This window comes from Homo sapiens, chromosome 18 (genome assembly GCF_000001405.40).
Source record: "Homo sapiens chromosome 18, GRCh38.p14 Primary Assembly".
Taxonomy (NCBI): domain Eukaryota; kingdom Metazoa; phylum Chordata; class Mammalia; order Primates; family Hominidae; genus Homo; species Homo sapiens.
In genome coordinates, this window is record NC_000018.10 from 72,607,790 (window position 1) to 72,626,175 (window position 18,386).

The 18,386-nt window shown below is 37.8% G+C and overlaps 1 protein-coding gene and 1 pseudogene across 3 annotated transcripts in view; one reads left to right on the forward strand and one right to left on the reverse strand.

The window, feature by feature from the left end:
- Positions 1–18,386, reverse strand: part of CBLN2 (cerebellin 2 precursor) — a 101,841-nt gene that overhangs the window by 71,109 nt on the left and 12,346 nt on the right. The window lies entirely within an intron of this gene.
- Positions 10,396–11,631, forward strand: HNRNPA1P11 (heterogeneous nuclear ribonucleoprotein A1 pseudogene 11; annotated as a pseudogene).

The following is an 18,386-nucleotide window of genomic DNA, read 5'->3' on the forward strand; positions in this document are numbered from 1 at the left end:
TTCCATTTTTGTAGTCTACACCCCTAATCAGCGATCCATTCCCCTCATCACACTGTCACTTTTATTGAGAGCATGAAACACATTACAAACTTTTTTTCTAGCCACATCCAGCAGTAGTCTAATCAGTACCTTTCTGGCAGCTGTTTTATTTCCAAAGAGAATTGTATTTAGTACAGGCATATTTAAAGGCATATTACCTGAACTCTTTCAACAGGCTTGCAACTTCTTATCTATTTTCCACCAAAATGAGCCATTCATATATCTGTAAGGTTTTTTTTCTCCCTAAGGTTCATATGACTGCAAAAATATCTTAGAATTATATGTGGTGAATTTATAATAACAGTTCCCACACTACTTTTCATACGACAGCTGCTTTATTCCTTGTAAACAAATCCTAGAAAGAAAACTCCTTCGTAAGAATCCATTCCTTTCCTTCATAGCTTTTGAAACACTGTACATTTCTGTTTTAGCCTCTGACTTCTTTTCTCCTGGGGGGATAAGTGCAGGGAGAATAAAAGAGTCAGAAGTTCCTGTCTTTTCATACTTTCCCTCCCCGCTCTGTTCTTCCTTTGGGGCTCCCATGCACAGTGTCTCACATCGTTGGCTTCTTTCTGAAGCCCTTGCCTGCCAGCTGCCTTCTTTTCCTGGGGTGCTGACACTCAACAGGCACCTGGGTGCACTTAAACCTTCATAAATTCAGTCTCACATTTCCTGATCTGATCTTATGGATTTCACATTTTTCTAAATTCCTGATTAGTATTTTATTAGGGAGCAGCAAGTTGAGCCTGAAAGTGAATCAAGCAAGCCTTCATCCTCTGTTGAAATGATATAAACCCCATCTTCTCATGTTCATGTATAAGGGACCATTTTCAAAGTGGGAAGTGATTGTGAGAAAGATTTGCTCCCACGTGCCTAGGAGCACAGGTGTTGGGGCTGAGGGGCAGTATATTAGTCTGTTCTTATGCTGCTAATAAAAACATATCTGAAACTGGGTAACCTATAAAGGAAAGAGGTTTAATGGGCTCACAGTTCCACATGGCTGGGGAGACCTCATAGTCATGGTGGAAGGTGAATGAGGAGCAAAGTCACATCTTACATGATGGCAGGCAAGGGAGCTTGTGCAGGGGAACTCCCATTTATAAAACCATCAGATGTCATGAGACTTATTCACTACCATGAGAACAATATGGGAGAATCCATCTCCACGATTCAATTATCTTCACTTGGCCCCAGCTTTGACATGGGTATTATTACAATTCAAGGTGAGATTTGGGTGGGAACACAGCCAACCCATATCAGGCCTCAACAGAAAGGATGGAGAGAAGGTGTCTGTATCTCAGCAGAGGCCAATAAGGTAAATTTGACTGACTCTTTTATAACTTACTAATGCATTTGCATAAATAAAAAGGGTTATGGGATGAATTAATAGAAATTTTTATGGGCTCCCATAATTTATATGTTGTATCTAAATCCACAGTACCTCAGATATGACTATAATTATAAATAGGGTCTTTAAAGATATAATTGTGGTAAAATGAGGTTATAGGGGTGGTCACTAAAGCAACATGACTTGTATCCTTAAAAGAAGAGGGCATTAGACACACACAGAGGAGAGACCATTTGAAGACACAAGAAGAAGATGGCCATTCACCAGCCAAGAGAGGTCTCAGAAGAAACCAGGCATGCTGACACCTTCATCTCAGACTCTAGCCTCCAGAACTGCAAGAAAAAACTTTATTTCGCTTAAACCACCCAGACTGTGGTACTTTGTTATGGCAGCCCTAGCAGTCTGAAAGCCATCCTGCATAACCTCTACCTACAGCTATGAGAAGCTGTAAAACAGCAAGTTTCTTCAACATGTCACACATCAGTTTCAAAGGAGGTTTCAATTTGCCATCCCCAGGTGCCATCCCTGTCACTCCTAATCACTTCTTGTAAGTTGGATGGGACGAGTAAGCATTTACTTAACTCCATTTGAGAGCAAACTTCAGAAGTGCCTACTTCTTGATTGTCTTCCCATGAATGGAAATCGTTGTCACTAGCTGGTGTACAAAGCTTCTACTTCCTACTTCATGCCATTGGGCACATTGGGCAGTTCTGCTTTGCTCACAGCTGTCATCTGGGGATGGTATTCCCTGGGTTGTCCTGCCACCTCTACGCCTGTCTCACTGAAACTCGCTGCCATCCTGTGTGTACAGGCAGGACCATTAATGTTCCCTAATGTTCCACAGCCTCCCTCAGCTGGTTGTCAACCCAGGGCCACCCACACTTTTGCAGGCTGAAATAGGACACACTCAGCTCTTCCCACCATGACCATCCTAATGTTTCTTTCTTTTAGAAATAAATGATGTAGACTGTATTTATGGCTTTTCTGAGATGAGTTGTTGTTGTTGTTTTTAGCCTGAGCCTCAGCGCACTCCTCTCCCCCATCTCTCTTCCACCCTGGCCACCCCTGTCCCTTCAACACCAAGCACACTCCATTCTGAGCATGTGTGCAGTGCTGTTCTCTAGGGTACCTACCACTGGGAAAACAATGGCTCTTTCTCTTCCTTTCTTTGGGTCTTTGCTCAAAATGTTTCCCTTCTTATAAACTTTCCTGATGATCTTAACTTAAAACACATCACTATCATTTTCTTTCTTTCATCTAGATTTATTTTTGTGTAATACTATTTTTCACTGCTCTGATACTACACCAAATATCTATATATCTATCATTGTGCATTTACCTCCATTGGAATGTACACTACATGAGGGAAGGGACTCTGTATATCCTGTCTACTGCTGTAATCCCAGCACCTAGAATAATATTGACTCATAAATGCTTCAGAATGTTACTCCTCTGAAGCAATGTAGAAATCAATAAGGAGCATCCCTCCTTTATAGCAGTTCCAAGTACTTCCAAGACACAAACCCAGTGGTGGTAAACCTGGCTTAAACCATCAAGTGGCTCATTTAAAAATAGAATTTAACACTTTTATTTTAGATTGGGGGTACATGTGCAGGTTTGTTAACTGGGTATATTGCATGATGATGAGGTTTGGGATACAATTGGTCACTTGGGTACTGAGCATAATACCCAATAGTTAGTATTTCAACCCTTACCTCCCTTCCACCTCTAGTAATCCCCAGTTTCTGTTATTATTATCTTTATGTCTGTGAGTACCCCCTATTTAGCTTCCACTTATAAGTGAGAACATGTGGTATCCGATTTTCTGTTTCTGTGTTAATTTGCTTAGGAAAATGACCTCCAGCTGCATCCATGTTGCTGCAAAGAACATTATTTCATATTTTTTATGGCTGCATAGTATTTCATGGTGTATATGTACCATATTTTCTTTATCCAATCTACCATTGATGGATATGTAGGTTGATTCCACATCTTCACTATTGTGACTAGTGCTGTGATGAACATATGAGTGCATGTGTCTTCCTGGTAGAAGGTTTTATATTCCTTTGGGTATTAATCTAATGTCATGCAATTGCTGAGTCAAATGTTAGTTTTCTTTTAAATTATTTGAGAAATCTCCAAAATGCTTTCAACGTGGTCTGAACCAATTGACATTCCCACCAGTAGTGTATAAGCATTCTCTTTTCTCTGCAGCCTCACCAGCATGTACTTTTCTTTTTTTGACTTTCAATAATAGCCATCTGACTGGCATGAGATGGTATTTAACCGTGGTTTTTATTTACATTTCTGCAATGATTAGTGATGTGGAGCATTTTTTCATGTTTGTTGGCTGCTCATATGTCTTCTTTTGAGAAGTGTCTGTTCATGTCTTTTGCCTGCTTTTTAATGGGGTATTTGTTTTTGCTTGTTCAATTGCTTAAGTTCCTTATAGATTATGGATATTAGACCTTTGTTGGATGCATAGTTTGCAAATATTTTCTCCCATTCTGTAGCTTGTCTGTTTACTCTGTTGATGGTTTCTTTTGCTGGGCAGAAGCTCTTTAGTTTAATTAGGTCCCACTTTCCAATCTTTGTTTTTGTTGCAATTGTTTTGGAGGACTTAGTCATAAATCATTTCCCAACACCAATGTCTAGAATGTCTCCTAGGTTTTCTTCTAGAATTCTTATAATTTGAGGTCTCACATTTAAGTCTCTAATCCACCTTGAGTTAACTTTGGGATATGGTGAGAGATAAAGATCCAGTTTCATTCTTCTATATATGGCTGGCCAGTTATTCCTGCACTATTTATTGAATAGGGAATCCTTTCTTCATTGTTTATTTTTTATCAATTTTGTGAAAATAGATGGCTGTTAAGTGTGTGGCTTTATTTTGGGGGTTCTCTATTCTGTTGCATTGTTATATGTGTCTGTTTTTGTACTAGTACCATGCTGTTTTGGTTACTGTAGCCCTGTAGTATAATTTAAATCAGGTAGCATGATGCCTCCAGCTTTGCTCTTTTTGCTTAGGATCACTTTGGCTAGTCAGGCTCTTTTTTGGTTTCACATGAATTTTAGAATAGTTTTTTTCTAGTTTGAAAAATGACATTAATAGTTTGGTAGGAATAATGTTGAATCTGTAGATTCAAGTTGTTTGTTTTTATGTGTGTATGTGCCTGTGTGTGTGCACATGCAAGTGCACATGAACACTCACATTTGTTGTGTGTCTGCTTTCTATGTTTAAGAAACATAAAAGTTTACTTCCCTCAAACTGATTGCAGGCTCCCCACCTTACCTTCAAAGCCCTTTGCAGAATGGCCCCCTTACCTCCCTCCCTCCTTTTCTCTGGGGTCTTATCTTGCTCTGTTGGATGCATATTTTCTGTGTTTTTCTGTACTTAATGTCTTCCTCTAATAAAAAACATTGCCTCTCTGCAATACACACAATCTTACTGCACCTGCTCCAATTCTGTCAATTGCTTTAAGGTTTAGCTTAAATGTCTATTCTGCGGAGATTTGTCTGATCTGAAACACCCACTTACCTTTATCCAGAAGTTTAAAATCCTACATGATTTTGTTTGTTCTTCTCTTCTAACTTGTATTTTTGTTTTATATTTTATGGATGTGTGTTTGTATTTTATTTCTCCCAGAACCCAGCTCCCAGCTGGGGCTGCTGTAACAAAGTGTCATAAACTGGGTGCCCAAAAAACAGAAGTTTATCATTTCACAGTTCTGCAGGCCAGAAGTCCAAGATCAAGCTGTCAGTAGGGTTGGTTCTTCCCAAGGGCTGGGAGGGAGAATCTTTTCCAGGCCTTGCCCCGCAGATTCTGGCAATTTTCCAGCACTCATTGGAGCTCCTTGTTTTGGGGAAGCATCACCCTGATCTGTGCCTTCTTCTCTTTGTCTGTGTGTCTCTGTGTTCACACTTCCTCTTTTTATAAGGACACAGTCATTTTGAATGAGGGCCCATCTTACTCCACTATTATCCCATCTTAACTAATACATGTAAAACAATCTATTTCCATACGTGATCACATTGATGTGGTAGAGGAGGTTAGGACTTTAACTTATGAATTTAAGGGGGGCAAATAATAACCTTCTTAAAAAGGGTCTTTCTTCTCTGTCTTTGTAGGTCTCTCTATAGTGCCCAGACCAGTGGGTTTCACATTACAGTGACTTCATAAATATTTTATTGGATTGAAGTGTGCCACTTACTCTGTCTCAAGAGTGCCTTTCCCAATATCTGGCACATAGCTAGCATTTCACAATTTATTTTTAAATTATTATTAGTAATAGGTATCTTTTTTTCTTACACACTTTAGTTGAAAGATTAACCTGCAATTCCATTTCCACCCTAATGTGGCATGCCCTGGTGATACAAGCCTTGGTACAAGCTTTGCTATTTGCAATAACCTGATACTGAACAATGCTGGGGTCAGAAGGAGGCAGGCTGTGAGTGAGGGAATGTCAAAGAAGACAAAATGCCAAAGGGGAGAAAATAGGACTTCAGCCTGCTCAGAATGCAGAAAATCACCTATTTGAACAGTATCTCTACATGAGGCCCCAGGGACTCATTTATTTACACGTTTTCCTGAAGCTATTGCTCATCCATTTCTTTGAAAACCTCATAGATTCCATGCTTGTTGACTCAGGAAGTGAAGCATCAGATTTATTCCTGTACACCGTTGCCTTTCAAATTCATATTAGCGACTTCCTTTTCAGTGTCTTGTGGTATATGCAATTTGTATTCAAAACGTCTTCTAAGACAATATATCCCTCTAGCCCAGAGATGTGTTTTGAAGTTCCTTTGTAAGATAGTTCCCTCTGTTACTCCCTGTCAGAGAGATTTTCTAAATGTCCTCCAAGATCATGTTTTCTCTGTTACATAATTTTTAATAGCCCTTGGTACAACTCTCAGTTTGCTGCATAACTGATATCCTCAAAGGAACATTCACCTGAGTCAGCTATGAATGAGCTTTACAGATAAAGTGGTACCTTTACCTTTGGGAGAGGAGCAACAACTTTATAAACAAATGAAAATATGCATTTCTCTTAAAAGCTATTTATACATTTCAACATGAAAACACATTGATTTAAATAAATTAACCAAATTTCAGAATTAAAATAGGTAACACATCGAACTTTTGTAGTCTCTATTTATGTATATTATTAAACAATTTAATGAAAATATCACAACAGATTCTTCAGAGTTCATCAGGTAATAATGTTATTAATTCTGAGGTGTGATTTCTTCTTTTATTTAATTCAACAGAATTGCAAAATAATTTTTCAAATTTTTTGGTGTACATTAGGACTTCTTTACAGAACAAATTATGTGGAAAGATTTATTCCATTGGATTTGGTGGTTTGAGAATTGCAGGTGTGATTTAAAAGTGCCAGACTTATTTCTAAGTACAATGTTCATATACTATACCAACATTCATCTAACCATTGGTATTACAATGTAGCCTGTGCTAAATTCTAGGTTGTCAAATGTAAAAACAAATCACTGATTTAACATGATATTAAATGTAAAGAGATTTGGGACTTTGACAAATTACTACATAGTTAAGTGTATTATTAAATTCATTCCTTTTGGTAGAGTTGGGTAATTTGTTTTTGATAAGTAAAATATACACTCACCAAGCTAATGAAATTGTTTCAGGAAGATCTATCTTTTCTGGGTTTTAAAAATCTTTTCAGTAATAAAGACTTCATTTAAATTAACATAGTTATGTATTACAAGAATATTTCCACTGCTTTTCAGCATAATATATGTCTATTGGCCTGAGCTTGACAATGCTGACTATACACATAACATAGGTGGGCTGTTTGTCACTTAGCAACTTAAGGAGATCAAGTACATATATATATATATATATATAAATATATATATTTATATATTATAGAAAATATATATAAATATATTTATACATTTTAGAAAATATATATAAATATATTATATAAATAAATATAAATATAGAAAATATATATAAATATATATTTATATATTATATATAAATATATATTTATATATGTGTATATATATGTACATATATATTATATATATAAATATATATTTATATATGTATATATTATATATATATATATTTTTTTTTTGAGACAGAGTTTTGCTCTTTGTTGCCCAGGCTGGAGTGCAATGGCACAACCTTGGCTCACTGCAACCTCCTCCTCCCGGGTTCAAACGATTCTCCTGCCTCAGCCTCCAGAGTAGCTGGGATTACAGCCATGCGCCACCATGCCCAGCTAACTTTGTATTTTTAGTAGAGAAGGGGTTTCCCCATGTTGGTCAGGCTGGTCTCAAAACTCTTGACCTCATGTGATCCGCCTGCCTTGGCTTCCCAAAGTGCTGGGATTGCAGGCGTGAGCCACCGTGCCTGGCCCAAGTAAAATCTTATAAGATGTGAATTAGAAGGTATAGAAAATGCTTCTTATTGATTTGCTTTTAATAATACTGCAATACAAGTTTCTCTTGCACAATATATATATTAAGCATTTGTTTTGTTTTTTATGATTGTCTATGAAGCGTGACCAGCAACAAACATACTTATTTCATGACGTCAAGAGAATTTCTACAATATAACAAATGATGCACTCTAACTGATAATTCTAGAATGAAATTAGAAGAATTTGGCTCACTTTCAGGGACTGAATATTCTATGAAGTTGTCTTCTGAAATGTGAGGTCCACTTGTATTAGTTTTTAAATATCTGAGAGAATAAATCTCATAAGGGTTTCTAACTTTTTTCCTGCTCTATGAATTAACCTTCAATTCTAAGGACTCCTGTCGACTTTTAACAGTAAAAAAAAGCTTTCAGAAGTTTCCTAAGAATTACATTTTTAGTTTCCTCTTGTTTCAAACACTACTGTGTTCCTGATAATGTTGAATTTTACCCGAGTCTTATGTTCCTGGAAAATAATCAAGGTTAAGAAATCTGCCTATCCTTTTGAAATCAATCAATGTTTTGCATTCCAGAAAGTGGCTTCTAATATATGACCACCCTGCTCTTTCATAGCAAGATAAGACCTGCTTTAGTCTTCCTCCAGGAATCCCTTGTTTCATAAGGCCCCATGTTTCCTCCCTATATGTAGAGATGATATTCCTTAATGAATATGTTCCTACTACCGTTGCCTGAAGAAAAACATTTCCTTAATTGGTGCATTTTTTCTTTCACTATTTGGGTGCCATGGCTTGGGTCATATAGGAACTCGCCTTTGGGTCCCCCTTTGCTCTGTCCAGGTCTGGAGGCTTTTGGTGTGCTTTGTGCTCTGTTTCTCATTGGAACAGAATGAGGGAACACAAGGGTGAGTCTGATTCTTGGTCTTTGTTCTGGACTCTTGCCCACTGGTAGTGTGGAAAGGATATGATTTTGATTCCTTTTGAGTATTTGTTTGAGTATGGATGCTGCAATATTTTTCCATTATTGTGTGAGCATGTGGCAATCTCTATAAATGGATTAATGGTTTACAGAGATCTTTTCTCTGTGGTGTAAAAAATGACAGACAATCTAATTTGTTAGTCTTTTCTGTTTGTCTATTTCATCTATCTTGAGCTCCAATCAATTAAAAATTCATACCTTCTATGAAGAGAATAACTCCTTAATATAGAGCAATTCGTCTTGTGTTTCTGTGTTTATGTTTAACCCACTGCTGAATTTCTGTGTGTGTCTGTGTGTTTATATTTCTAAAATTCAGAAAGACGTTTATCTCTTATGGTATGTATGCAATATATTCCTAAATGGTATTGTCGAATTAAATCATTAAACCTTTTAACACAGTCCTAATCTGATTGGCTTAGAGATAAATAAATGCTTATTTAAATTGTATATTCCTAATTTCTCAGAAATTAAGAAAATTGAACTTCAAATACTTTCCCACCACACCTGGCTGACTTTCAATATACTTTAAAAACACGTTCTTACAGAAACAAACTCACACATCTTAATACATGTTATAAATTCAAGCTCACATATGTAAGTAAACCTTTGGCAAGAGAGATTAGTATAACATTGTTGGTTCAGTAGAAACATCTATGTAATCTCTAAATTACCAATGTTAAGTATAATACCAGCTTACATTCTTATTCTCCTTGGGTATGCTCTCCGTAAACTTATACATGTTTACTGATTGAATGAATTACCATGAATTCTACTAAATAGTTAAAATTATGAAAAAAATGTAAATGTGTATGCTATATAAGCAAATCAGATCAATATTCTGACAAACTTTATTTAATAAAGTATGTTTTATAGTATATCAGTTACAAGATAATTTCTAAAGCCTTGGAATGATACTGAATTGAGTCAATTAATGGAATTTTATTAGATATCAAGATCATCCTAAGAAAGATAAAACATTAAACCTTTAATTACTAAACATAATTTTAAGTATGTAGACATTTTGCCTCGCATGTTTTACATGATATAGAAAGGTGAAATTTATTTGCAAATGCTCATGAACCTGTTCAGTTTTGCCACTTTGAGGAGTTGTACCATATAGGATGCTGTGAAATGCTGGCGTGAGTACAGATAGCTCACAATTATTTTCCTCCTGTCTTCCTCTATGAAGTAGAAGTCAATGTTGTGAAAACATATAATCTGTATATATGAATGAGACTCAGTTAGTAGTAATAGTGGAAAGGAGGCACAACCTGGTATGCAAAATATACTGGATGAGTTTTTGTTAAGAAAAAAGAGAGTAATTATGTTGTAAAATAAAATGACTGCTTATTCCAGAACGAGAAAAAGAAAATTATAGGAAAAAAAATTAAATGGAAGAAAAAATTTTAGAAAGTTATCAGAAAGGGAATTTTGGCTGTTATGGTTAAACCGGTTAAGGTTTGATAGGTTTATTTATAAGATTTTCAAGTAGAGTTTGAGTATCAAACATTCTAGTGCTGTAAAACTAGATTTTGGTTTTCTCTCTGTTCTACTGAAATTTTCTTATATTATTGGTCTTTTCAAAACAGGCTATAAAAGTTTCCTTTCTATGAGATCTCTTTGCCAGCTTACTCCTTTCTGCCCATGGACGCTGCCAAGGAAGCATTGTTAAAGTCTCTCTTTCCCCTGCTGTCATGTCTAAGTCAGAGTCTCCTAAAGAGCCCGATTAGCTGCGGGAGCTCTTCATTGGAGGGTTGAGCTCTGAAACAACCAATGAGAGCCTGAAGAGCCACTGTGAGCAATGTGGAATACTCACAGACTAGGCGGTCTTGAGAGATCCAAACACCAAGAGCTCCAGGAGCTTTGGGTTTGTCACATGCACCACTGTGGAGGAGGTGGATGCAGCCATGAATGCAAGGTCACACAAGGTGGATGCAAGAGTTGTGGAACCAAAAAGCTGTCTCAAGAAAAGTTTCTCAAAGACCAGGTGTCCACTTAACTGTGAAAAGTATACGTGTTGGTGGCATTAAAGAAGACACTGAAGAACATCACCTAAGAGATTATTTTGAACAGTCTGGAAAAATCGAAGTGATTGAACTCATGACCGACTGAGGCAGTGGCAAGAAAAGGCGCTTTGCCTTCATAATCTTTGATGACCATGACTCCGTGGATGACACTGTCATTCAGAAATACCATTCTGTGAATGGCCACAACTGTAAAGTTAGGAAAGCCCTGTCAAAGCAAGAGATGGCGAGTGCTTCATCCAGCCAAAGAGATTGAAGTGGTTCTGGAAGCTTTAGCGGTGGTCATGGAGGTGGCTTTGGTGGGAATGACAACTTTGGTCATGGAGGAAACTTCAGTGGTCATGGTGGCTTTGGTGGCAGCCATGGTGATGGTGGATATGGTGGCAGCGGGGATGGTCATCATGGATTTGGTAATGATGGAAGCAATTTTGGAGGTGGTGGAAGCTACAGTGATTTTGGCAATTGCAACAGTCTTCAAATTTTGGACCCATGAAGAGAGTAAATTTTGGAGGCAGAAGCTCTGGCCCCTATGGTGGTGGAAGCCAGTACTTTGCCAAACCACAAAACCAAGGTGGCTGGGGTGGTTCCAGTAGCAGCAGTAGCTATGGCAGTGGCAGAAGATTTTAATTACAGTCAGGAAACAAAGCTTAGCAGGAGAGGAGAGCCAGAGAAGTGACGGGGAAGCTACAGGTTACAACAGAATTGTGAACTCAGCCAAGCACAGTGGTGGCAGGGCCTAGCTGCTACAAAGAAGCCATGTTTTTGACAAATACTCATGTGTATGGGCAAAATCTCAAGGACTGTATTTGTGATTAATTGTAGAACAGGTTGTTTTAGTTTCTGTTCCGTGGAAAGTACAAAGCATTCCAACAAAGGGTTTTAATATAGATGATTTTTTGTACCCATGCTGTTGATTGCTAAATGTAATAATCTGATCACGATGCTGAATAAACGCGTCTTAAAAAAAGAAAAGTTTCTTTTGTACCTTCAGTGTAATCCACCTGTATAGCTAAGATTCCATCTTACCAGAGTAACCTTCTATGGTTTGTACGATTGTTTTTTGCCCTTGATTATTTATGAAAACAAAGGTTTCTCATTTATAGAAGAGCTAAGGGTCATTATGATCATCTTAACTCCTAGTTTTACTTTTAAAATATGTTTGTTGTCCCTAGGTTAAATAGATAACCAATTATTATTTCTTAGTAACATATTGAATCAGGATATTTTCTTGACCCCTTAATGGGATTTGTGACAGAGGTGCCTTGTTTTCTCAGTCCACCCATGTCTAACCCTCATGGGAGGCAGCGTGCAAGCAAATGAGTACAGGAACTGAAGTGAGCACTTTTAGGCATTGGCAGGAACAAACTTCATTTACTCAGCTCACCACCCCTTGTTGGGGGAACACATGGGTGAGCAAGTAAGCGACCCAGCTGTCTGCTTTTGGGCACCAGCAGGAACAAACTCCATGCAGGCCCCACGGCAGTGTTCAGGTGGGGCTGTTCAACTCTGAAGCCCCAGAGGGTGTGCCACAATGCTCTTTCAGCTCTGTCATCCATCCATGGACAGCTTAAATGTTAACAGCTCAGTAAGCCCTTTGCCTTCTTGCACAGGGTGGCTGCCTTCCACTACTGAGGGCAAAGGGCCAGTGTGACAGCCTTTTTTTTTGAGTATCTGCACTTGTGGCTCCCGAGCTCTTGTCTGTCATCCAGGAAAAATGAGGTAGCAGGAACAAATTGAAGGATGGTGAATGTAGACAATTTCATTGAACGATGAAAAAGTGGCTCTCAGCAGGAAGGGGAGCTGGAAAGGAAATGGGATGGGCAGGTAATCTTCCCCTCAAGTCTGGCCATCTCTGGCAGGACTCTTCTTTGAAATCAAGCCATCAAGTCTTCCCTCTGAAGTCAAGTTTCTTCTTTCAGAAGTCCAGCTGCTTCTCCCTTTCTCTCTGACTGAGTCTGGGGTCTTCATAGGCACAGGATGAGGGGCAGAGTGGGCTGTTGGTAGTATAGGAAAAGGCAACATTGGAGCAGAAAAACAGGGATGGAAGTTCTCACTTTGGGCCATGGGTTTCAGGATTTTCTGCTAGAAGGCAGGGTTTTGCCAGGGACCTACCCTCGTCTGCCTAGAATTTCTTGCCTCCTGCCTCTATCATTGTATCAACTTGAACTTGTTCAAGTGTTCAGATCTTCCAACAACTTTTGATATTTTGCCTTTCCAAAATTGGATTATTATTTTCTCTAGGAAATCTGTCTTAAAAACCACCCAGATGGCCCCAGTCATAAACGTGTTTTTTCACATTATAAAAAGAAAAGTGCTATAAATAATCAAATCTATTTGATACTTTATGACTGATAAGTGCATAGGAAGTGCTAGAAAATTAGAAGAGATCCTGAGCTTTCCCTAGGTGAAGTTGGTATGGGTAAAATATTGTTAATATAAATATCTCAGAAACTGTATGCTGGATTGGAATTACATGGAAACTTGCCAGTGCCCTTTCCTTTCATATGTTTCTATTTGTTAGAGTCTGGTGTTGCTTTGCCTGGGTTAGACAACAGCACTGTAGCGTTATGATTCATAATTCTAGGTATTTAAGTATTGACTTGGTCACAATTTTACCTCTTTAATTTGAATCTAATATCTTCTAGATCAGTGGTTTTGGACTAAGAATTTACATGACTTACTTATGACATTTTACTAATACTCAGGTGTTGAGGATCTAGTCTAGACTTCCATAATATTTTACGTGATATTTTTGATAGAACTATAAGCTTGATATATTTGTGTTATATTATGTATCAAGATTAGTATATGTAATATCTGAGCTTTTTCTTTGTAAAGATTACATAGAATATCTCCTCTTTTTGACAATAATTAATTGTTATGTTTATAAATATTCTGTCTAAAACCTTTTTGGATTGACTTTATTACCTTGTGTTGTAAGCAACAAAAACAACAAATTTCTTTGCCTATTCAATTATTTTTTAAAACAAATCTCATCAGGCCTTGCACTTTTTAGCCTTCTAAGTAAGAAATTAACCACAGCCATTTTAAGTCTTTGGTCATTTCCAGATATTGTTTGTTTTACCCTGAAGCTTTCGTGAAAGCTCTGGTAATCTACTACAGCTCAGAATTTTCCATCCTCAACAAAGGAGACTGTATCAGAGCCCTGCAAAATAGGACTATGTCATGTATGTTTGGTTATAGGTTTCCAATGGTATCATTGCTTAAATGAGAACCTACCAGTGGAGTGAGCCAAGGTTTCCAAAACTGATGGAAAAAAACAGTTTTTCAGTTGAGAAAACAGCTGAGAAACCGATGGATTCATATTCATGAGACTGTCAACCCAAGATCGAGTGGAACACACATTAATTACATTGGACTGAAGATACTGAAAAGGGATTGCTGTGGGTTTTGTTTGTGGTATTATTGGCATTTTAATTTTCTATTTTTATAGATATATAGGAAGACTTTTCTCCTTATGTGTAACTCAGAACAATGCAGTAGATTTTGCTTTTGTAAACTGAAATGAAACATTTTTAAACGAAATATTTTTCTCTTTGCCCAACACTCTCAGAATTGTGAACCTCTTGAATGTTCTTATTTTCGTAGCAATATAGTTCTGTGCATACATTCACATTATATAATATAGTTATTTGCATGTCCTTGTCAAAAGAACACAATTAGAAACATTGCTTATGCAACCAAGATCTTGCTTGGAATGTCATATTTGAGAATGATGCTCATTTAATCAGATGCAACTAGATACTTTAAGCTAAGGTTGACTTTCTGGGGCCAATGCTTACAATGCCCTCTTGGAAACCTGGCCTGGCACTCAGTTTACAAGATTCTCAGCCTTATGGGTGAGTAAGAAAAGTGACTTACTGGCAAGTCCAGAAATCAGGATATTTTGAAAACTAGAAAGGAGAGGAATTTGCTCAAATTTCTAGTGCTGAATTGTTGCCTTAGATTCCCAGGCTTCCCGAATATCTGATCTGAGATCCCTTATAAAAATTTCCAGCACAGCAAACATAAGAATGCCTGTGTGGTAAATTACCATTCTTGCTGTACCTGTGTACATAATCAGGGCAAATCTAAAGAGACCAGCCTTATTTTGTGATTAAGAATGCACTGTCTTTGAGATCACTTTTGATCAAAATGCTGTAGTGAAAAATGACAGGTCTCAATGGAAAACCGTGTATCACATGCAGTACCCCCCTCCGTGTTATCAGATTTTATCCCTGCTTATCGTCTTTGAGCTATGTTCTACTTCTCTGTAAATTAAACATAACTTATGGATATGTACACTCTATTTTGCCTGGTGTATTAGTCTGTTCCTGCATTGCTATAAAGAACTACCTGGGACTGGGTAATTTATAAAGAAAAGAGGTTGAATTGACTCATAGTTCCACAGACTGTACAGGCATGGCTGGGGAAGCCTCAGGAAACTTACAGTCATGATCAGAGGCACATCTTACATGACAGGAGCAGGAGGAAGAGAGCGAAGGGGGAGGTGCTACACACTTTTAAATAACCACATCTAGTGAGAACTCACTCACTATCATGAGAACATCATGGGGGAATTCACCCCCATCATCCAACCACCTCCCACCAGTCCCCTCCTTCAACACTGGAGATTACAATTTGACATGAGACTTGGATGGGGACACAAATCCAAACCATATGACCTGGTAAACACTTAATTGATTTCTACCCTCCCTGTGGAAAAAGGAGGGTTGGTACTTAACTGCAAATTGGGCCGGAACATGTTACCTTTCCCAAACTGACAATCCTTATAAAATTCTCCCTTTTTCTGTATTTTCTTTAATATCAGGTCACTATCCTCCAAATGACCTTCTCCAGTTTTTCTCATTTGTACTTGATTTGAAGTCACTGAAGACTAAAACCGAGCTGTCCGTATCCCTTACTGGGTCTCTTTGTGGCCTGGAAGCTGTCTCTGGATCTGAAGAAGCCCTAAGAGCTGAAGCCTGATGACTTTGTACAAACCTCAGAAACCTCATCACGCTGCAGACAACCACTGGCCTGAGTTTGCCCTGGACAAGCTGCTTGTCTATAAACTACTAATGTAGTTTGAAGAAATGCTCAGGACATGCATGCCCTCATATGAGAGGGGACTTGGATTGTGAACAACATTACCAAGGGCATCAGCATCCCAGCCTGAGAGCTTCAAGAAACTCAAGAAGTGCTGCGGCATGACAAGGGATTTGCTTACACCAATCTTCTAGAATTCACCGGACTGATCGCTCTCGGAGTTCAACTACTGGATCTTTAGTATAGCCCTTAAAAATACTTCTGCTTTTTATTTCAGGAATCCCTCCTTTATGTAAATAACTTGCTCTCTGGGAGCTAAAGTCACCTGGGACCTTCACGAGAGGTTTCTGCAAACCAGTTGAATTTTTTAGAAACATCCTCAACAAGAGCCTTTCAGTGATTATTTCTTAAACTCTCTTCATCTCATTCAGAAAGTCTATGACATGCTCAGTATTGCTCACTGACTCACAGTGGACACATAGGAGGACTAACGCTGAATTTGTCTGAGTTCAGCACTTTCAGAGATCAATGAGGGTTAAGAAATCCAACCCCTTCTTTTTTTTTTTTTAATTTAGGAAAATGGTTAACCACAAAGGACCATCCTGCCCTTGCATACTCCAGACCCATCTCCACCCTCCCTCTTAACACCTTTCCTTTGTAAAACCGCATGTTTTTTCCCTCTTCGTTGAGATGTTTCACTTACTATTGCAATTACCCTAACTAAAACTATCTTCCTGCAATGCCAGCACTTTGGGAAGCCGAGGCGGGCGGATCACTTGAGGTAGGGAGTTCAAGACCAGCTTTGCCAACATGGTAAAACCCCATCTCTACTAAAAATACAAAAATTATCTAGGGGTGGTGGCACATGCCCATAATCCCAGCTACTCAGGAGGCTGAGGCACAATAATTACTTGAACCCAGGAGACAGAGTTTGCAGTGAGTCAAGATTGTGCCACTGCACTCCATCCTGGGCGACAGAGTGAGACTGTCTCAAAAAGAAAACCAAAAACCTATCATCTTAATTATCTTTTTCATTCCTGTCTTTGGTACATCACATAATAATTAAAAATGCTTAATTTTGCTGAGATAGCTTATGTTTTCCTTACATAATTATGTGTGTGTGTATTGAATAATTGGTCTGACAATTAGTGCTCAATGCACCTTGCAATTTCTTTTTACTTTACATACTATTTAAATATGGGGAGAAGAAGACTTTAATAAAAAGTTTTTAAAAATTGTCAAATACTAAAAGAGGCTGGTATTAAATCCTGTTATACCAATGTATGGGGCAAATGATAATTGGAAGCAGCTTTAGAAAAAGTAAAAAATTTAGGAAAAGTAAAGAAAAAAACAAAATTGTTTTCCCAACTTTAGAATTATTACAAGTAAGTGAAGGTGCTTTAGGGAGCCTCTCTCCATAAAGTCTTATCATCAGATAGGTTTTTACCACCCTTTGTTAAGGATATGGTGATTTGGGAAGCATATTTTCTAACTCATATAGAGAGCTTACCTCAAAATCTTCTGGAAAATAACAGCCAGGAGTCTGAATGTCAGAGGGGTGAGAGGCACATTGAGAATCTGAAAAACAACCGCCGGCTGAGCCATAACTACTTTGTGTATTTCATGCTAAGTTTCATGTCTTTGTCCAGTTAACTCTGAGAGTAACTCGGGCTGTGGACGCTCAGGAGGACAAACAATCAAGCCTTTCTGTCCCTCCTCCTCCCCATCTCTCTAAATTGGGACCCTCCTTGTTCCTTCTTAATGTTTACCACTCTTGTAGTTTTATGTTGTTGGTGTGATTTTTAAAATTTTATCTCTATCCCTAGATTTTAAGTTCTAGGAGTGGGTCAACCATGATGTTTTTTCTGTTCATTCTTGTATCAGTTGCACCAACACAATGCATGATACACCATAGCAACTATTTGTTACATGAACGAATGAATGTATAAGTAAATGAGTCTGAGGGTAATACTATATATATAAATATACAGTATTACTCTATTATTATTATTATAGGATTATATTATTATAGTATTATTATATATAGTATTACTATATATATATATATATATATATATATACACACTCTTGTCCGTTAGACCAAATGCTGAAGAGTATATATATATGACTATATATATATGACTCTCTCTCTCTCTCTCTCTCTCTCTCTCTCTATATATATATATATATATATATATAGTACACACACACATATACTCTTGTCTGTTAGACCAAATGCTGAAGATGTTCTTATACTATTTTGGATGTGTTGTGATTGAGGCTACTCCTTGGCAAAGTTGTGCAGAAAGCACAATTTGTTTTCATATTTTCAGTGTCCATTTCCGGTCATTTATCACAGCTTCCCAGCTGCCCGTCACGCCCCAGCCTTGTGGTCCAGTGAGAGCAACGTCTCCATAACAGAAAATATCCCTGAGGAAAGAATCTGGGATTCATTCATGGCAGCATGAAATGACTGAAGGGTTATCTCCCGTTCGGCAAACATTTTTCATTTTTATTTTTTTGTCAAAAA